Below are 21,697 nucleotides of genomic sequence, written 5' to 3'. Positions count from 1 at the left end.
TTGTATCAAGGAAGTAACTAACTTGCTTTTGATTTTACAGGCTCATAGACAGAAGGGACTTGCCTTTGGATGAGATTTTGGACTTGGACTTTTGAGCTAATTATGGGATGAGTTAAAATTTTGCGGGACTTTTGGAAGGTATGATTGTGTTTTAAAATGTGAGGACATGAGATTTGGGAGGGGCCAGGGCAGAATGATATGGTTTTGCTGTGTCCCCACCCAAATCACATTTTGAATTGTAGTTCCCATAATAATCCCCACATAATGAGAGGGACCCAGTGGGAGGTAATTGAATTGTGGGGGTGGTTTCCCCCATGCTGTTCTCATGATAGTGAGTTCTCACGAGATCTGATGGTTTTATAAGGGACTTTTCCCCGCTTTTGCTCTGCATTTCTCCTTGCTGCTGCCATGTGAAGAGGGATGTGTTTGCATCTCCTTCTGTCATGATTGTAAGTTTCCTGAGGGCTCCCCAGCCATGCTGAACTGTGAGTTAATCAAGTCTCCTTTCTTTTTAAATTACCTAGTCTCAGGTATGTCTTTATTAGCAGTGTGAGAACAGACTAATACAGTCATGCAATTCAAAGTTGTTTCACACAATATTCTCTGACTACAAATGGTCATGTCAGGTAAATTGGTGAGTAGTACTGTGTGTCATTCAGGGTCTAAAAGGAAAATGGGCTGGGCATGGTGGCTCACACCTGTAATCTCAACACTTTGAGATGCCAAAATGGGAGAATCACTTGAATCTAGTAGTTTAAGATTAGCCTGGGAAAAAGAGTGACACTGTGTCTAAAAAAAATAAAAATTAGCTGGGCATGGTGGCACACTCACTTGAGCCCAGGAGTTTAAGGCTTCAGTGAGCTATGATTGCACCACAGCACTTGAGTCTGGGTAACAGAGCAAGACCCTGTCTCAAAAAAAAAAAAAAAAAAAAATAGAAAATGAACAGTATACCAGAGGGAATTTAACACAAGGAATTATACAGGTATTGGAGGTCTAAGAAGGCAAAAGGGGAACTGATGTAACACAGAGATAGTTAGTGTAGAAAGCGAAGCAGTGATCAACCCTAGGGTTGTAGAAACAAAGGTAAAATGGTTGGGTTGTTAGAACTTGGTAACTTGGATGAAGGGCCACACATAACTGGGAGGATGGCTTCTGAGAAGGAGGTTGCTGCTGGCCTTGGAACTCAGAGGAAGTACCTAGTGTAGCAGGGACTCAGACCTCTGAAGAAGAGGTGTCCACTGGCTGATGCTCATGCCTTTGAGAGGGGGCCACGAGGCTCCGGGATTGTAAGAAAAGAAAAGAAATGAAACTGGAAACAATGACCACTCTCAGAGTAAAAAATTATGGCTGGGATGATGCTAATTGAAACAAGAAACAAAATAGGAAGCAGCCAGACCTATATCCCTCCTCCAGCCTTTCAGTCTCTTTTTAACACCCCTTACTGACAGAAACTAATAAAGCCAGCAAGCAAAAAAAAGATGTGGTTTGCAGAGTCCTCACCTTAGCATCAAAAAGCAGATTACAGAGGGTGGGCCCCTCTTTGGCCACTTCCCTACTTGCTCATTCATACACATCCTTCTTTTTTTTTTTTTTGAGACGGAGTCTCGCTCTGTCGCCCAGGCCGGACTGCGGACTGCAGTGGCACAATCTCGGCTCACTGCAAGCTCCGCTTCCCGGGTTCACGCCATTCTCCTGCCTCAGCCTCCCCAGTAGCTGGGACTACAGGCGCCCGCCACCGTGCCCGGCTAATTTTTTGTATTTTTAGTAGAGACGGGGTTTCACCTTGTTAGCCAGGATGGTCTCGATCTTCTGAACTTATGATCCACCCACCTCGGCCTCCCAAAGTGCTGGGATTACAGGCGTGAGCCACCGTGCCCGGCCACATCCTTCTATATAGTGTCTGCTTGAAACCATGATGTCAAAATATAATTTCTTATAGCATGTTTATTTATTTTGGGGTGACAAATCATTATAATAAAAAAGGAGTTGTCCAAAAAGTGACATAGCTTTATAATAGCCATTATGGCAAAAAGTCATTAATTGAACAGTCATTACATGAGGGGATCAGGAACTAAAAATCAACGCTCATTATGGTCATAATGTAAAGAAACATCACAGGAAATCATATATATCCACCATTCATGAATAGAGGAAGTCTGAGACCTAAGAACAGGAACTGGTCCAAAGGGGTAACCTGGAGCTGTATCTTTTTAAAGACAAAACACCCTCCTCCAGGCTTAACAGAGCTTGAAGTGTGAGAACCAGGAAAAGAGGAGTCAATCTCTGGGAACTTAGCTAATATCTACTTTCATGGACACCCCTACAGTCTAACTTTCATTCATTCATTTAACTATTATATGTTGAGTACATAAAATGTTCTAGGCACTAGAGTGGTGAATGAGACTTAATCCATGCTCTGATGGAACTGATTCTTTTTCTTTTTCCTCGCCCAGGTTGGAGTGCAGTGGTGTGATCTCGGCTTATTGCAACCTCTGCCTCCCTGGTTCAAGCGATTATTGTGTCTCAGTCTCCTGCGTAGCTGGGATCACAGGTGTGCATCACCATGCCCGGCTAATTTTTTTATTTGTAGTAGAGATGGGGTTTCACCATGTTGGCCAGGCTGGTCTCAAACTCCTGGCCTCAAGTGATCCATTCACCTGGGCCTTCCAAAGTGCTGGGATTATAGGTGTGAGCTACTGTGCCCAGCCAGAATTTACTCTTTAGTGGGTGATTACAACAATTAACAGGTAAAAAGTAAATATATAAAGCTTAAACAAAGATATCAAGAAGTAGTAGGTACTACGAAAGAAAATAAACAGAAAAATGAACGGAGAATAGAAATTTAAACTAACCAGTAATAAGGGAGATGCAAGTCAAGACAATTAAATGTCTTTTTCACTTCCCAGATTGGTAAAAGTATAAATTATTGATAATAGCACCTTGTAAAGGATGAAATAAAATGGATATTTTCATACACTGTCAGTAGGAGTAAATTGGCAAAGCGTTTCAGGGGGATATTATTTAGTAGTATAGAAACAAATTTGAATTTTGCACATTAGGTTAATATATTAAGTTGAATCATATGAAATTGCCAATATTTGACAAATTTTGGCCTAAAAAATGAACTTGAAAATAGATCAAATGAAATTATCCACACTGAAACACTAAAAGGAAAAAGAGTAAAATGTTTTCAAAATTTCAAGAACATACTGGTCAAAAGGGAACTGAACCAAACCACAATTTATTTTTCTTTTTGGTAGCTCCAAAATGAAAGAGGCTGTCTGTTATCCACTGGTTAGATAAAGTGAGCATTTCCCTTCTACATAGGCGATGAGGGGATGGGTCAGATAATTTCAGTTGCTCCTTTTATCTGGTTTTTCTATCTCCTGAGAGAGCATCCTTCCTTTTCTGATTCTCAATCCATGTACATAACTCATCTGAGGGATCTTTATAAGCTTGTAAGTCATAGACTTGACTGTTTCCTTTCAAAGTCCAAGTATTTTATTATGTGTGATGTCTCTGGAGTCTATTTGCCACCTAAAAATTGAGAATATGGTCCCAAGCCATCATTTCTGGATATCATTTGAAGCAGGAAATGTGACAACCATTCAAATAGGAAACAATGACAATGACCATTCCCAGAGTCAACATTAGATAATGCATGGACCTGTTGCGTGGGATTTATGATGGTCAGGGGTGACCGAAATCAGGTTTCTTGGGTTCCCTCAGTCTAAGATGTCCTTCCAGTTGGAAAGGATCCCCAAATCATTCTACGGTATGGTCACAACCACAAAGGCACCTCTAGGATAAAAAGTGGTGGATAATTTCTCTACACTTCCTCGAAGTTCTGAGTAAGTCTCATCCTGTCCTTTTGAGTTTGAGTCACTTTGGCAGCACAGTCACTTTCCTGTGCTGACTTAGATCCTTTTATTTAAATCCCTGTTCCTGTCACTTGAAGGTGCTTGATGGAAACTGAAGCCCTTTGTTTATTAATTCCATGTGACCTGTTCTTTAGTGGGTAGTTAAACATTTCAAGGACACTGAAAAATACCAAAATACCAAAGAGTGTGCTGTCAGTTGTAGAGGAAACTAGGCTATGCCATCTGATTCAGATAGTTAAAGTTGGCATTGATAGTTCTATGGTAACATTCTTGATTTCCATTTGTGAAAATTTTAGCCCAATTTCCGGCCAATATACACAAATGTATATCTCTATTAGACTATTAAGAAAAATAATAAATGTTTAATTTTATATGATGTGGCTTGATTCTCTTTTACAAAGTAAAATCTGAGCATGTGTGAGATTACCAGCTGGGGGTTGTTAGATTTTGAGACCGGAGTTTTTGATCTTGTGGCCTAGAACCGATTGGTCACTGGATGACTTAAGAGGGAAAAGAAAAATTCTGCATTGCTAATAAAATCTGTATTTGTGGTGACCTGACAGTTTCACAGTGGGGGGACTGATTTGTGCTCCAGCTCATGGCCTCATCAACTTAGTTTCAAGTCAGAGCCATAGCAGTAAAATATGACTTTATTTTTTTAAGCATTTAGTATATTTTAAAAGTTGATGATACATTTCTGGTAACACTGACTAAGCTATTTAGGTAATATATAGGAAACAAATATTTTTAAAAGCATCAAGATGATGATTAACACTGAAGAATTACGAGGCCTGAAGTAAAGGAAAAACTGGATCCCAGAGCCGTAAGCAAGCAGAGGAACCATTTTTTGGCTAAGGACATTTCCTGACCTGCATATTAGGGTTTGACAGCCTTCTGTGACTAATGGGACAGAAATAGAAGACCAGAGTCTGCGCAAGTTGGGGAGTTTATCAGGAGAATAATCCTACAATAAGGTAGAACCTTACATTTCTATAATCTTGGGATAAAAATGGACTATAAAAGAAACATCCCTTATGTTACACAGTTTAAGTTCAGAGCATCTTTCACACCTTTTACTTGATTAAAGGTGGTTCTGGGCTGGAAGTACCCCCAGGTGCTGGGCAAGAAAGCTTTCATTGTAGATCTCAGATTATTCCAAAAATATTTTTCCAGATACAAGATATGGCACATACTCAAAAATAATAATGAACCCAAAGAAACTAAACCAGGTGTGAAAACCAGCAGACATGTCAGGCAGTTGAAATCAAGCCCCCAAATATTAGATATATTAGAAAGACTGCAAAACAATGATGTCTACATTATTCATGAAACAAAAATTTGGAAGAATTTTGCCCACTTGGATGTTTTCTTAGCTTCAACTTAACGTTCAGGCTCACAAGAATCTCAGAGGCCATACTTGGCACCAGATTAATCCGAGAGATGTAGGATAAGAATTATAGCTTGCTATTAGGGCAGCATCAGGCATGATATTTCTATAGGAGCAGTCCCTGCAGCAGCAGTCCACACAGTACCTAGGAGATAGTCTCTTGACTCTCCACCCCTCATTGTCTACTTGGGGACAGCTGAGGTGCATGTGGCACCATCCTGGAGCCATTATCTCTTGTTAAGAACTTAATAGAGTAGTTTCCAATGCCCATGCCAGGTGTATGCAAGTTATAGGAGTCACTGCATTCAGAGAAGCTCAAAGTCTGGCTTCTTCCAGATACTTAGTTTTCCCAGTCCAAGTGTAGTCCATCAGTTAGGAGTCTTTTTTATGATATGCAATGTTTGCTTAGTAACATAGTTGACATTTTGTCATTAGAAGGCTCTAGGTGGACAGAGCTAGAAAGTTAATTAAGGTCAAATTATCATGCAGAAGGAGAAAAGGGTTTTGTTAACAATTTACACACCAATTGGAAACAACAAAAAAATGACAGAATAGATTTAGAGAGAGGCAAATAGAAATTCGGAAAAAACAAAACAAAACAAAATTAAGAGCTCAATGGAAGAGTTTAACAGGAGAGCAGTCACAACTGAAAAGAGAACTAGTAAAATGGCAGATGAGGAAGAAGAAAAAAATTCAGAATATATAACAAGGAGAAAAAATAATATTTAATACACAAACACAAAAATATAACAAATAGAGTGAGAAAGTCTATTTTATTTTTAGTTAGAGGCTCAAAAGTAGAAGAGAGAGAAAATAGAGGCAATAACTGAAGAGATAATACTTGAGAGTTTTCCAGACAAAATGAAACTCAAAAGTCAACAGATTCTAGAAGGCCTACCAATCAAAGAAGATAAATAAAGGGAACTCCATACCTAAAGACAGAATAGTAAAACTGCAGACAATAAAAAAAAAAAAGACAAAAATAGTAAAGACAAAAAACAGAGGAAAAAAAGGAACATTACATTCAAATAAGCAGCAGCGAGACAATTGGCTGCCTTCTGAAAGAAACAATCAAATGCAAATATCTTCAATATGCTGAAAGAAAATAACTGCCTCCAGAATTACATACTTAGTAAAAATAATCTCCACTAATTAAAGCAAAATAAAGACACTTTCAGAGAAAAATAGCTGAAACAGTTTTTTCACAAGCAGACCAACACAAAAGGAAATTCTAAATGATGTTTCTCCAGCAGAAGGACCATGATTACATATGGAAATTCAGAGACATAGCAGAAATAAAGAGCAAGATAGCAGCACATATGTTGATAAATCTAAATTAACATTAACTACATAAAATATATGTCTAGTCTTCTGGGGTTTAAAACTATTAATACTTAGACCTAATAAATGATAACAGCATATATATAGAATGAGACTAAATGGAATAAAAGTATTCCAACATCCATATATTGTCCAGGAAGAGGATAACGGTATCAATTACTACTATGTTTAATAAATTAAGGATTAGCTGGGCACGGTGGCTCACGCCTGTAATCCCAACACTTTGGGAGGCCAAGGTGGGCGGATCATGAGGTCAAGAGATGGAGACCATCCTGGCCAACACAGTGAAGCCCTGTCTCTACTAAAAAAATACAAAAATTAGCTGCACCTGTAGTCCCAGCTACTCGGGAGGCTGAGGCAGGAGAATCACTTGAACCCGAGAGGCAGAGGTTGCTGTGAGCCAAGATCGCGGCACAGTACTCCAGCCTGGAGACAGAGTGAGACTCTGTCTCAAAAAAAAAAAAAAAAAAATTAAAGATTAAGATTGTAATTTTTAAAGTAACCACAAAAGAATAGAAGCAACTTAAATACAATTAAAGGAAATACAATAAGGAAGAAAGTGAAGCAAAGCATATAAAAAAGTAAAAAAATATAATGTTATAATAGTTAAAAATAACCAATCCAAAACAGACAAGAAAAGACATAGAAACAGAACAAGCAGAACAAACAGAAAAAATAAAGATGGTAGATTTAAAATTAATATATATCAACAATTACATTAAATGTAAGTGGACCAAATTATCCAGTAAAACAAACCCCCGAAATACTGCTACACTGGATTTTTAAATTAACTATATGACATATTTAGGAGTTGTATCTAAACCAGAAAGTGAGAGAAAGGTTGGAAATGAAAGGCGAGAAAAGGAGCTTGACTGAAAACATTAACAAAAAGGTGGCTATATTAATAGACTCTAAAGCAAAAAACATGACATCAGAATATCCCTCTTAGAGAATACAACCATTCCTTTCTAAATACTTTTTATGCTGACTGGTTATCATAGGTGACAATATATGTTAATCTGTCTGCACCATTTTGTTAAGACAAAAAGCTTTGGTATTTTCTTCTCCACTCTCCAACTATAAAGCTATAATAAACTAATAAATCTTTAAATATTCCTTATCTTTAAAATTTTTGTATAAGTGATTATTGTCATGTTATTTAGTGCAGTGGTTTACTTTCATCCTTTCTTCCTAATCTCCAAGTATTGCCAGGTACTTGAGCTTTTCCAATGTACACGTATCAAAGCCAGCACGAGTCCAGAACCCACTGCCTCTGAGAGCTGATCCATTGTAATTCTTTTCCCAACATCCTCTTGGTCTCTAGGACTCTAATGACCAAAGGAAAAGAGATTGCTGTTGCTTGGCTACTATGTTGGTAGATATGATTTAAGGCTACAGGTATGTCCAGATTTACACTGTGGAAAGGTCACTCAGGACACAGTGTGGCAAATGGGTTGGAATAGACAAGACTGGCTGTAGAGAGGCCAGTTTTTGATCTACTTATGTTAATGGAGGTGATGGATGGACCAGCGTAGTAACAAAGTGGGAATGAGTCTGTATAGAGTCCAATAAATTTAAATACTATAATTCTTTGGAAATGAATTGTCATGTTGGGAGATTGGGAGTGTTTAAAGAAGATATCAAGATCTGATTTGAGGAGCAGGATGCATAGCAGTGAGGATAGGTGTCTAGGCAGCGGTAGAAGCAGGTTTTAGTGATCTGTTGAAACACCCACGACAACACACTACTCTTTGGGAGATGCTGGCTTGGGGCTGATCATTGAGGTAGAGGGTAGTACATGATGCTGACAGGGATCTCACTGGTGTGTTGAGTTTTAGCATCTGTGACTCTGAGATGCATATGAGGCCTCTTGTAAATTTTGGGGTTGAGAGTAGAAAGTACAGGTTTGTATTTTAGAAAGAGATTTGGGAATAAATGTAGCTCTGGTTGACACAGACAATATGTGAAGGTTTGTTGGCCAGAACTAGTATGTGTCTTGGGTGTTGGGCAGAGAACAGATAGAGCCAAAGCTCTGCAAGGTCAATATGAAGGGTGATTTCCTTGTTGGGTTCAAGTTTATGACTCAGCCTGGACCTAGCTTGGCTTCTCAACTAGAGAAGAAGCATGATTCCATGTCATACACAACTCCTGTCGTTGAAAAAGTCATAATGACTCCCAGACCCAACAGGTGGGGCAAACTTTCCAGATTTTTCTCTTCAGTTTAATCTTTCCAGGGAAAATTGGGGAAAGAAATCTCTCTATTTGAACTTCATCAAAAGACCAACATGTTAATATTTCAGCCATTAAAATGTCTTTAAACCATGTTACTCCTTAAACAGCTATTACACGAAAATGTATTAACTGAGGAAACTGGGTTCTCCCAAACAATGAAACACTGACTGCAAGCATTATTCATCTTTTTATATCATATATTCCTTCAAATATTTTAGACATTTTAGAAAGCAAATAATAGTATTATAATGATTACAAGACTGATCATTACTCTTTTACAAAAAACAGCCACAAATAACTAACTCCATTAGCATTGCCTTCTGTCCTTTCATTTCCTCTTTCTTCATCTTCTTTTTTTGCCTATGATATTCTGGTATAGCATATTTCCTCTTTCTTCTAATTCTAATTCTGATTCTGCTTCTTATTTCTTCCCTAGATTAAAACTTTACTTACCTATGCTGCCAGTTAGTGCTTTCTTCCCAGAGCCACTAAAGCAACAGTTTGAGGTTGAGGTCCTAAATTGAAGATTTAGGATCAGAAACAAGGAACCCGGATGAATTTCTGATGTTTTTCTATAGGAGTCTGTTACGCAGTTGGAAGGAGCCTTTTTAGGAATTAAAGTTTGATCAAATAAGCTATTTTAATATTTATAGTTTTGTCTAGTAAAAGTATTCTATAAAAACCTTGGTTTTGGATGTCTACTGTTAGCTTTTAGTCAATACTGCAAAAAGCTTCTTTTGGAACAATTTCTGTCTTTTTCAGTATTGTATTTCAATTGTTTCTCCAGGACCACACATAAGAGCCGGATTGGTGGTCCAGTGGTAGAATTCTCACCGCCTGCATAGGAGACCCTGGTTTAATTCCTGGCCAATGCAACAAGTTTTGTGCTTCACTTCTCTATATTCTTTATACTTCTGCCCTGCACAGGCTATCCCATGTTTAAGGGCCTTGGTTGTGGAGGCTTTTGACTTATGACAATGGTAACCCAAGTGATGGCCAATGCCTGAAGCATAAGATATTCAGGAAATGATCTAATGATTTAGGGACGTTGCAGTTAGAGTCAAGAGCCATTCCTGTAATCCCAGCACTTTGGCAGGTCAAGGCAGGTGGATCACCTGAGGTCAGGAGTTCGAGACCAGCCTGGCCAACATGGTGAAACCCAGTCTCTACTAAAAATACAAAAATTTGCCAGGCATGGTGGCACACACCTGGAGCTACTTAGCATGGTCTATCTTTGAAAGTGGCAAGTGTTTCTGGTAGTTTGATGCAGTTTTGAATATTGGTATGTAAAACTTTTGTTACTTTCATCTATTTTCCAGGTAGATCCCTAGAATCCCAAAGAACCATCACGTCCCTGATTCGCATGCTAGACCTTGGGCTGACCGCTGGGTCACGCCTCACTATGGAGCAAGGAACAAGAAGTGAAGTCCCCTGAAGGAGAGAAGCTGTGGGGAGGAGCAGTCACCTTGGTGGTGTCAGGTGTCGGCAGTCCAAGAAAAGGGGAGGCACGTGGGGAGGAATCCGTGCGGAGATGAGGGGAGCAGTGGAGACGTGGCTTTGGGCAGAGGTGGCGAGTGGACCCTCAGGCCTGTACCCTGGACACCATGAACAGAATTAGTTAACATTGTCACCCACCATGGCCTCCGTGTGTTCCGTGAGCCCATTTGCTTTCCCAAAGGGATTCCTAGCAATGTGTGTCAACAGGTGTTGGCCTGATTTTTTTTTAATTTTTATTTTTTGAGACTGGGCAGTGCAGCAGTGGCTTGGTCTTGACTCACTGCAACTTCCGCCTCTTGGGTTCAAGTCCTTACCTGGCAATACTGTGTTGAAGCCATTGAAACTGTCCCTATAAACTTTATAAAATTAATCAGGGAAGAAGGGAAGGGGAGAAACAAAAATAAACAAGCTTGCAGCAATTTTGCATTACTCTTGAGAGCAGCCTGCTCTTGGACCTGCTTCCTCACAGTTGTTTGGTGCTGTTTGTGCTAGAATCAGGCAGGCCCTAGATTATAGTTCTCCTGAACTGTTCTATAGATAACAACCTGAACATTATGAAATGTTAAGTTTCCCATTAGAGATATTCTTTCAGATCCTGTGTACCAGTGAAACTACTGATGTCAGCTGGTCTGAAGGACCCCACTGAGGAACTGACTCAGTATGCAGTTTCCAAATCCTAATGATTTCATCCCCCTTCCCCTGCCCAATCAACAACCTTAATTTTCCAACCCCTCACCCTCCACAATCCCCTTAAAAACCCTAATGCAGAAGTTCTTGAGGAGATGGATTTGAGGGTCTACTCATATCTCTCCCCTTGGCTGCCCTGTGATCATTAAATTCTTTGTTGCAAACTGCTGTCTTAGTGTATTGGTCTATTACTGCACAGTGGGCATATGAACCTACTGCTCTTATAACACCAGAGTTGTTTTCTACTTTGTTTTAACTATTCTGGAAATCTCTGTATTTGTTGAATAAAATTGTAATGCGATATATAATGTTTTGTTTTTTTGTTGTTGTTTTGTTTTTTAGCATTTTTTTCTCTAAAGGAGAATCAGGCTTTCAGGTGAACAATCTAGGAGACTTGATTTACAAAAATGAAAATGACATTACTTATGTGATGAGGCACATTGAAAGAGCCCATAAAGTGGCAGCAAAAATTAAACCAGGATGATCAACTTCAAGACAATATCCTAGTAAAATTATTAGATTTTAAAGATAAAACATACTCAGGTCTCCAGGCATCACTGTGGAACAAGTTACAAAAGCAACTGAATTAGATGGGCACTAACATACAAGGCAAGGTAACAGTGAAGCAGCATTTTCAAAAAACTTATATATAGAAAGTGCAGTGTGGCTGGGCCACCCCAGCCCCCAGCAGTGGGGTAGGATGGCACTAAAGTGGATCCAGAAGGAATTAACCAACTTGCAGATGAATCCTCCTGCCCAGTGCTCCACGGGGCCTCTGGGTGATAATTAATGACAGTCCTTGCCAAGGAGGTGTTTTCTTCCTGACCATCCACTTTCCTACGGATTGCCTGTTCAAGCCCCCAAGGTTGCTTTCACAACCAAAATTTATCACCCCAATATCAATAGCAATGACAGCATCTGCTTCGACATCCTATGGTCTCAGTGGTCTCCAGCATTGACTGTCAAAAGTTCTCTTGTCCATCTGCTCACTGCCCTGCATCCCCAACCTCAATGATCCTCTGGTGCTAGAGATACCCCACACCTACAAGGCCAACAGAGAGAACTACAACAGACTAGCAAGACAGTGGACAGAAAAATATGCTATGTAAGTGCCTAGGTGATTTTACGGGAGACATTGTCTCCCTTGAATTCAAGGTCTTCCCTTGAAATTCTGGGCTGTGGGCTGGGCCATTCAAAGTGTCATCTGTTCTTCAAACAAATTGATATAGGAGTTAAAAAGAAATTATTTAGGCATTAGGGTAAGGAAGTCCTTGGTAAGGTTCCCTTTTAATGAAAAGCAGCCCCCAAATAATTTCTTTTCTAACAAAAAGCAGCCTGTAAAATGGAGCTGCAGACATAGATAAGCAAGCTGGAAGCTTGCACAGGTGACTGCTGGCGGCTGTGCCAATAGGACAAGGCTACCTGGGGGATAGGCATGTTCAACATGGTGGCTCCATCTTCCCTTTTCCTTTCTAACCACGTGTACAGTAAGGAGCAGACAACATGGCGTGAGTAAAGTAGAAAACCCATTTGCATAAGAAGAAGATTAGGGTTGGGTGGCCAGCTTCTTCCAGCGCTATGTAAATGTCACACCTGGTCCAACCAATCTTTGGGCCCTATGTGAATCAGACACTGCCTCCTCAAGCCAGCCTATAAAACCCTGTGCACTTCACCACAAAACCAGAAGTTCCACTCTGGCAACCCTCTCTCTCTCAGGAGAGAGAGCTATTTTCCTTTCTCTTTCTTTTGCCTAGTAAACCTCCACTCCTAAACCCACTTCTTGTGTGTCCACATCCTCAGTTCCCTTGGTGTGAGGCAACAAACCTTGGGTAATTACCCCAGACAACTATGCCACTTCAAAATGTTGGTCACCCACTCTCTCCAGCTGCAGCATGTTGGTGCCATTCTCAACAATTGTGGCTTTGACAATGCCACATCTTTGATGCCAAATCAGCAGCCATAGTTGTTATGATCTGCAGCCTTCCCGGTTACACTGGAATCTCTCTCTCTGCCCCAGTTTATCTGTTGGTCTTTTGGGGAGCTAGGCCCTGCACCTCTCTCCTACCCAGCCTCAAATGGTGCCACTGCTCACAAAAGTACCACACCAGGTCTTCAGCCAGGCCCCTCACCACATAACCTTTGCGTTTTAGAACTCAGTGCCATCCTGGGTAACCAGGGCTGAGCAGGGTTTCCTCACACCCTGTCTGCTGCACAACCACAGCCTGAGGAGGCTCAGCTCATGCTGGAGGGAATTGGGAACAGTGTCACTGGGAAGTGAAGGCCTTGCCCTGAGGCTTCCATCAGTCTTATTCTCCATTTGCCACATGCTGGCATTTCTCCCCTCAAACCAAGAAGCAGCAAGTGGAAAATGTTAAGATATAAAGTACATAACACCCCATAAGACATGACTATGTTTTTAGAAGCAAGAGGAAAATTATGAAACCTCTAGAGGTTTGGGTTATGTTTATCCATATGATGAGGATTTTCACCACCCCCGCTCCTCCCACTAGGAGCCTACAGTAAGTTCAAGTGTGAGCCATTCACGGACCAGAACACAAGGAGGGAGAGAGACTCCTTGGGTGGATCATGAGGTCAGGAGATCGAGACCATCCTGGCTAACATGGTGAAACCCCGTCTCTACTAAAAATACAAAAAATTAGCCAGGCATGGTGGCGGGTGCCTGTAGTCCCAGCTACTCCGGAGGCTGAGGCAGGAGAATGGCGTGAACCTGGGAGGTGGAGCTTGCAGTGAGCCGAGATAGTGCCATTGCACTCCAGCCTGGGCGACAGAGTGAGACTCCATCTCAAAAAATAAAATAAAATAAAATAAAATAAAATAAAATAAAATAAAATAAAATGCAATTTACTCATTAAAAAGAAGAAAGTGCAAATTAAGGATATTATATCCAATGAAACTCTCTTCAAGGTACAAGGTACAAGGGAATGGCTTTGCTTAAACTTTACATAGGTAAGGCTCAACCATACTATGACTCAAACCTTGACCAAATGCCCTCCTGGACCATGGTAAGGGAAGTAGTCTTGTGAGGCATTATCATAATACTATTTCTTACTCATCTCTTTTGGGGGCCTCCTTGTCTTGCAGCAGGCTACCAGCAGGCAGTTTCTCACCTGTTTCTGGTAAACCATGGAAATTTCCATCTTGCCCCGATCCCCTCAATGGTACAGCTACAGACTGTAACTGCCTAGCTGCAATATAAAATTGGCCCCTTCTTGACAGAGCAACCCACCACTTGGGTTGTCATCTAGTAACTCCAGTTTGGTGTCATGCTGTGGAATTATGGATGTGGGGAGCTGACAACATACTAATCTTTCTTATGCATAGATATCCCCTATTACTTATGCTGTGTGCGTAAGTCCAAGTGTGAGCCATTCACAGATTTGATGCCCAACATGGGACCAGTAAGGTCACAATGCCTTCTAGGAGAAAAAACAGAAAGAACCACATGGGGCCAGGTTAGGGGGCTTGAGAAGGGCCTCCAGGATCTGGTAGCAGATGTTCTCTCCCACGTAGTAGGTGTGAGAGGAGAGTAACAGTCCTCCTATTGTTCTGTGTGTTAGTGAATATTTGGAGGCTGAGCATTGACAGGGAAGACTGAAACCAGCCACCCAAATGGCATTTTTTGTTGTTTAAAGTTCATTGAAACTGAATGGACAGGCTGGGCATGGTGGCTCATGCCTGTAATCCTAGCATTTTGGGAGGCCGAGGCAGGTGGATAACCTGAGGTCAGGGGTTCGAGACCAGCTTGGCCAACATGGTTAAACCTCATCTCTACTAAAAATAGAAAAAATAGCCAGGCATGGTGGCAGGAGCCTGTAATCTCAGCTACTCGGGAGGCTGAGGCAGGAGAATTGCTTGAACCCAGGAGGTGGAGGTTATAGTGAGCTGAGATCATGCCACTGCACTCCAGCCTGGGCAACTCCGTTTCAAAAAAAGGAAAAAAAAAAAAAACCAAAAAACTGAATGGGGCCGGGCGCGGTGGCTCACGCCTGTAATCCCAGCACTTTGGGAGGCCGAGGCGGGCGGATCACGAGGTCAGGAGATCGAGACCATCCCGGCTGAAACGGTGAAACCCCGTCTCTACTAAAAATACAAAAAATTAGCCGGGCGTAGTGGCGGGCGCCTGTAGTCCCAGCTACTTGGGAGGCTGAGACAGGAGAATGGCGTGAACCCGGGGGGCGGAGCTTGCAGTGAGCCGAGATCCCGCCACTGCACTCCAGCCTGGGCGACAGAGCGAGACTCCGTCTCAAAAAAAAAAAAAAAAAAAAAACTGAATGGACAGCCTCTTAAAACCAAAAGCAATTGCAGAGTTGTGCTTTCTGTTGTGTGCCTGCTCTCTTTGTGCTCCTAATTCTTCTCTTCCCCTCAACCTGACTCAGGTACTTTAAAGAAAGAAGTCTCTCTACTGCTTCTTGATGGCTGGTCACATCTCCCTGCACTCCTTGAACTCTCAGTCAAGGAGGTAAGATATTCTCCTGGCAGGTGCTGCTGTAACTAAAGTGCATGTGTTAAACTTCTTGATATGTGTTCCTGTAGAGTGTGAATTCAACTGACAGAGTTTGGGTAAAACTTGTAGTAAAGGGGGAAAAAAAGTTAAAGTTATGAGTGAAGCCTCTGAGCCAATTCAGTGTATAGTTGTGAAAATGTGTCATTGAGATTGATGATTTACATGCTTATACAATGAATGGTCTTAAATTGTTAGAGGAGATTCTTCTGTTCAGAGTACCATCATGAGTAAAAAAAGGGCTAATGGGGCAAAAATCCCTTAACATTTGTCACCAATGAATGGGTCAGAATTTAGCCTGAGTGCCTGTAGCCTCTGATGTCTAAGTTTTACCATATAAATAATGTTCTGTTGGTTGGCAAGTCAAAATTTTAAAACTCAACTACTCTGACTGCAGTGTTATCACATCTCTGCTAGTAGGGGTGACTGATAAACACCATCCCACCCCCGCCAAAATCAATAGCTTGCTTGCCAAGTAAAGTTTCTTGGGACTATGCCAATGAATTCACAATGTTCAATTCCTCTGGCAGCCAAAAGGAAGACAAAGAACTAAAAACTCCGGCCTCTCACAAAGTAAAAGACTTGATTTCTGATATAGAAGCCACCATTGCATGCCAGATTTGTCACTCCTGCCAAAGTTTGGCCTGTTTGTTTTGGAGAAAATATTGTTGCTTCACTGCTTTCTGGCTTCCATACATTTTGATAAGAAACCTATGTTATGGTTAAAATTACAAAATTACAGAAATAATACTGAATAATAGTCTTCATTTCCTTTAACCTGAACTCTCCAAAATAAACAATACTTAAAATTTGTTGTATATAATTTCAAAAATGGTGGAATCAGAGTACTATCTGATAGTGTCTGGCCAGAGGACCAAAATTCCCAAACCTCATTCTGCCAATAACCTAGGTTCTCTGGTGGATGTGGGGATTACTGTAAAAGATATATACACAGATAAAACTGACAAGGTATAGATAATCACAATTTATGGCAGGGCTTGTGCCACAGTGGAGGGAATTCCAGTAAACTGTATCAGAGGATAAGGCTTAGTTCAAGACCTTAGGGTTTTTTCTTCTGTCTAAGCGTAAAGTCACCTTTATCAAACTTCTCCAAATGAATCTGATGGCTGCAAGTTCTCTGAGAAGAGAGAACCAGAAAGAAGTCACATGGAGTGGGAATTCAAGGTTAGAAGCTCCCCTTAACACCAGCCAAGTTACCAGTTTTGATGCTCTGGTAGAAAAGGGACAGTAATAGCCACACCCCTTTGTACAATACACTAAGTCCCCATATAGTAACAAACAAGCTCAGTACTTGTCCTGGTATGTAAAGAATAAGAAGAGAAAACCTAACCTGAGTCTAGGTTTCCTCCTTTGTTTATTAAGGATTGGGGGAGAAAGACAGCAGAGAATTTGTCTTTTTTACACAATTACTTCATTCCAATTTTCTGATGTCACTCCAAGTAATGCTAAGGGAGAAGTTTATTAGGCAAGTCCTTCAGAAGGCTATTTTCTTCCCATTTTCATTCCTTTCGTGTATCATATTGGGCCAGGAAGTGGACAATTTAGTGGGCCAAGGAAATGCCATTTTAATATTACAGCATAGATATCTGAAGTATACAACACCATGCCATAAATTCAGCTATCTTATCCCTACACTATCTAAGAGGTTACCAACACTGTCCCATTATATTTAATTTACCTTTTGAAATTATATATGGTTATATATACATATATACACACACACGTATACATGTGTGTGTGTATATGCATATGTATATACACATGTATACGTGTGTGTGTATATGTAGTAATATGTATTACTACATAGTTGAATGTAATTCATCAGGTAGTGTTATACAGTGGGCAACATATTGACAGCACAAGCCAACTAAATCAAAAGTGAATAATGTAAGATGTGAAACATTATTTATTATAATTTATTATGAAATTATTATTAAATTTTTCTGAGACAAAGATTTATAGGGAAATTGATGATCCGATAAAGAGACTTTCCTCCACTAGTGTCTTTGTCAAAATAAAGTGGCCATCAAAATGAAAATTAAATTATGAAAATTTAAATCAAATTTAAATTTCATCAAAATAAAAATTAAATTATTAAATTATGAACACAAGCCCTCTCTGGTTTTGAAAAATCTGCTTTGGTTTAAACCAGCCTTACGTATTCAGGCGCCGTTGCCTTTATTACTGGTGCCTATTTACTCTGCCAACACTTCCAAAGATGGGTTTTGGGACCCTTCTGTGCACCAGGTGTCCCAAGGGCCTAAAGTCTCAAGCATACCCATGAGACCATCCAAGGAACCACATTCACAAAATTTAGACCCAGTGAGAACACTGTGAGCAAAACGTCCAGGCTTACATTTTTATTACATTTATTAATTATTTTTCTATTGTGTCCAATCTTAACTGGAAGAAAAGGGTAGGTGCCAAAACAGGAAAGAACAGAGAGACTATTGAATTCAAGTTTGCTGAAATTCTAGGCAGTTCTTCCAGCTTTGCCATCTCTTGCGGATTTATAGTCTAAGGGGAAATTGACTATGAAGAAATCCTTTGATGATAAATAAGCTTAAAATTATCTCTAAAAGACTGATAATTTCTAGCATTGGTTTTAAATTCTGGGGAAAAGACGCAGTCTCACACACTTTGGGGAATGTAATTGGTGCTTATACGTTGTAGGGCTGTATACATCGGAATCTTAAATTCACAATAAATTTCACCTAGCAGTTCCACTATTTGGAATTTATCCTAGATAAATAGCTTAAATGTTAGGATCGACATTAATTCCATTTCTCCAGCAGTCTTGAAATAATTGAGCCACAGCGGTGGTAGATGGCAAACACAGGAAAGAACAATACCTCACAGTGAGGCTGAGACCCAGTCCCCTGATCTGGAATCAACCAGTCCCGGCGGTGAGAGCGCCAAACTTTAGCCACTAGACTACCAGGGAACCACAAAGCACATACTTTTTTTTTTTCCTCCTTCAATTGCTTCAGCAGAAATTACGCTGACATTGACCTCTAGAAAGCTCCATCTACCCTTCCTGGTGCCACCCGCCCATCCAAGGAATAGTCCCAAAAGGCTGTCCTCTCCCTGCTTTCTCCAAGTTGCGAGCCCACACGCGACGTGCAGAGCTCTCTCCTTTCCTTCCAGCCAGTGGCGCTCCTCGAACACCTGCCAGGTTTACAAGTCCCGGAGCGAGTTGCAGCGTCCCGGCCGCACCTCACTACCGACCTAAAGATGCGCCTTTGCTAGGCGGCAGCGCGTGGAGAGACTGTCGCTGGTCGGCGGGGCCAGAGCGCACCAGGCTTCCGGGAGGAGGCTGGAGCGGGGAGGCGCCCGGGGTGAGACCGTGGCACCCTCAACATCATAAAGGACTCAGATTCCTGCATTCCCGACATCATAAACGACTCAGACGGATGCGGAAACCGAGACGGCCTGGATGGAAAACTCTTTCAAGGAAGACCCCAGGGCCCTGAACGGAATTCCGGATATTTTCTCTACAACGTACTACACCTGCCTTTTCTCACGTTAGTTAATGGCAACTCCACCCTCCACACGTTCAGGCCAAAAACTGGACGCAGGTCTTTCTCTCATGACCCACATCCGATTAGTTAGGAAATTATGTTCTTTTTTTGGTTGATTTTTTCATCTTTCTTCCCTCCCTCCAACCTTTCCTCCCTTCCTTCCTTCTTTCCTTCCTTCTTCCTTTTTTCCTAAGTAAGCTAACACAGGATCATGTTTCTTTTTTGGTTAATTGCAGACTTTGATCCACACAACTATTCTCTTTCTTGGTCTGAATTTTGGCAAACGACAAGCAAGGCATAGAGATCGCTTCAACTCGCTACCCGCGGCTCGCCCAGACGTTAGGGTTTTAGGCCGCCGTTAGACTTTGGCCCTGCAGGTCAAAATCAGCTACTCTAGGCCTGTCTTCTCGGAGGCCAGTAGCAGCACCTGGTCCTCTCCGCGCGGCTTCTCCCGCCGGGTACGCAACCCTGCACCCCTTTCCTGTGACCTGCAGCGAAGCTCGGCGGCAGACCGGGTATTCAACTGGCCAGGAGTTCTCGAGGCGCAGGTGCGGGTGTGCAGGGACGCGCGCGGTGAGTTTGCAGTTCCTGCCGGCTCCAGCAACATCCCGGGTCAGTCCGAACTCCGAAGGCGCCAAGGCAGGGAGGGACCAGTAGGTGAAGGGCAGCCGCCCTCTTGCGCCGTTTCAGTCCTCCAGTCGCTGTTGAATGGAGTTTCCGTCTCCAGTCTCAGCCAAAGCAGGCAAGGCGGACAACCTCGGCCTGGCAACCAATGAGTATGCAGTCCCTTCTCCACCCCGTTGGGCACTTGAACTTGTGCCGTCGGATTGTTTCTCCCCAAGCTTTCTGTGAATTCCAAGAATGCAACTGATAACTATTTAAAAACTACCCTTAACTTGAAGAAAGAATACTTTAAAGTCTTAGCAAAGGAAATGTTCTAGATGGGTTTTAAGTCGAGGACTTTCAAGGGTGGGAGTAACACGAAAATCACTACACCAGGGAACACAAATACTGTTGAGAATGTATCACACACACCAACTACACACTTGAAGCAGGTAGGTTGTACGCTTAGGTTGGGCTCATCCTATTTTAAGTGTACTGTTGGTGGAACTTAACCTGAGTCTAGGATGAATATTTTAATTTTACGTTTTTAATTTAAATACACATTCCAAAGGTTATACAGAAAGCATATAAAGCCCACCTTATATCATTTTAACAAAAACAGCAAAAGAGATAATATGTAAATGACAGCCTCATAAAATGGTCTTTAAGTACTGGTTGTTTCCACTAAAGTTTTTCTTCCTACAAAGAACAGAAATTGCAAACCAAACATTGTACTTCACGCTACTAAGTAACAGAAAAAAAAGAAATTCTTTGGCAAAAAAAACAAAACAAAACAAAACAAAAAAAACTACCTTGAAAATGAACTTTTTTTCAAAGAAAATCTAAATTCATTGCTGAATGTTGCAGACATTTTACCTCTAGATCAGCTCTTAAGGTAACTAGAGATTTATTTTCTCCAGAGGGTACAATAGAGGATCTTTGGCTAAGGGGTCAACCATTATTTATGAGAGCATGTGTCCTCTAGTGAAATGAGAGAGATTAAGTGACAGCATGTCTTGATTTTCATGGTGGCACCATAGGATGTACACATTTCAGGTTTATTGAGGTGTCAAACCTAGAGGACTTACTATTAAGCTGTTTATTACTATAAACAAAACAGTGTGAATGTGGCAAAAGGATACACATATTGATAAATGAAACTGAAGTGAGACACCTAAAACAGATCCTTGTTATATGGTCAATTGATTTTTTTTTCAAAAAAGGTACTAAAGTAATACAATGGGGAAGAAGTGTCATTTCAACGAGTAGTGCTGGACCAACTAGATATCTACTAGTGAGGAAAAAAATCTCAATCCCTACCTCACAACATACACAAAAGCTAATTTGAGTTGGATCACAGAACAAACCATACAAACTATGAAGTTTTAGAAGAAAATGCATGAAAATGTCTTTAAGACTTGGCAGAAAGCAAATATTTTCTAAATATTACACAGAGAAATAAATAAAACAGAAAAATGATAAATTAGGCTTTGTTGATATGAAATATGTCTTTTCATCCAAAGACACCATTAAGTAACTGAAAAGGCAAGCCATGGACGAGGAGAAAATATTCACAACACATATTTGACCAAGAACCTGTATCCAGAGTATACAATTAGCTCCTACACCCATTTTTAAAAATGGGCAAAAGCTTAAACAGACATTTCAGAGAAGAAAATATACTAGTGGCCAGTCAGTTCATAAAAGAGTGCTCAATATCATTAGTTGTGAGAGAAATAGACTTAAACAAGATTGAGATACCACTCCGCCATTTTAGCATGGCAAAATTATAAAGTCAGAAACCACCAAATCTTGGTGAAGATGTGGAACACCCAGAACTCATACATTTTTAGAGGGAATGTAAAATGTTATAATCACTTTGGTTTGACAGTCTCCTATACATTTAAACATAAACATTTTTTTCCTAGCAATTCTTCACCTAGATATTCTTCCAAGAGACTTTAAAACATATGTACACACATACACATACACACACACACAC

At 40.8% G+C, this 21,697-nt stretch overlaps 4 pseudogenes across 4 annotated transcripts in view, besides 1 other annotated feature; all 4 read left to right on the top strand.

Moving 5' to 3' along the window:
• H2BP2 (H2B histone pseudogene 2) overlaps nucleotides 1-11,331 on the top strand; it is a 57,749-nt pseudogene extending 46,418 nt beyond the window's left edge. The window contains exon 2 of the transcript NR_160915.1: nucleotides 10,164-11,331. The product of NR_160915.1 is annotated as a H2B histone pseudogene 2, transcript variant 3 (transcript). The remainder of the gene's footprint in view (nucleotides 1-10,163) is intronic.
• Nucleotides 9,649-9,719, top strand: TRR-CCT7-1 (tRNA-Arg (anticodon CCT) 7-1; annotated as a pseudogene).
• On the top strand, nucleotides 11,694-12,249 carry UBE2D4P2 (UBE2D4 pseudogene 2; annotated as a pseudogene).
• PDE4DIPP3 (PDE4DIP pseudogene 3) overlaps nucleotides 17,930-21,697 on the top strand; it is a 28,902-nt pseudogene continuing 25,134 nt past the window's right edge. Inside the window, exons 1-2 of one of the 3 annotated variants that reach the window (XR_001737706.2) lie at nucleotides 18,455-19,095; nucleotides 19,329-19,864. The product of XR_001737706.2 is annotated as a PDE4DIP pseudogene 3, transcript variant X1 (transcript). Of the gene's footprint in view, nucleotides 19,865-21,697 lie in introns of all 3 variants that reach the window. The other 2 variants (XR_001737707.2, XR_007066540.1) reach the window with 2 other exon arrangements.
• Nucleotides 19,201-20,133: an enhancer, noted in NCBI's record as "H3K4me1 hESC enhancer chr1:149332654-149333586 (GRCh37/hg19 assembly coordinates)". NCBI's record gives its function as "activates a minimal SCP1, AML or CMV promoter by ChIP-STARR-seq in primed H9 embryonic stem cells {active_cell/tissue: H9 hESC(primed)}" and the evidence as "EXISTENCE:reporter gene assay evidence [ECO:0000049][PMID:30033119]".

Source organism: Homo sapiens, chromosome 1, assembly GCF_000001405.40.
Source record: "Homo sapiens chromosome 1, GRCh38.p14 Primary Assembly".
In the NCBI taxonomy this organism is placed as follows: Eukaryota; Metazoa; Chordata; class Mammalia; order Primates; family Hominidae; genus Homo; species Homo sapiens.
This window is presented reverse-complemented; position numbering and strand designations above follow the sequence as displayed.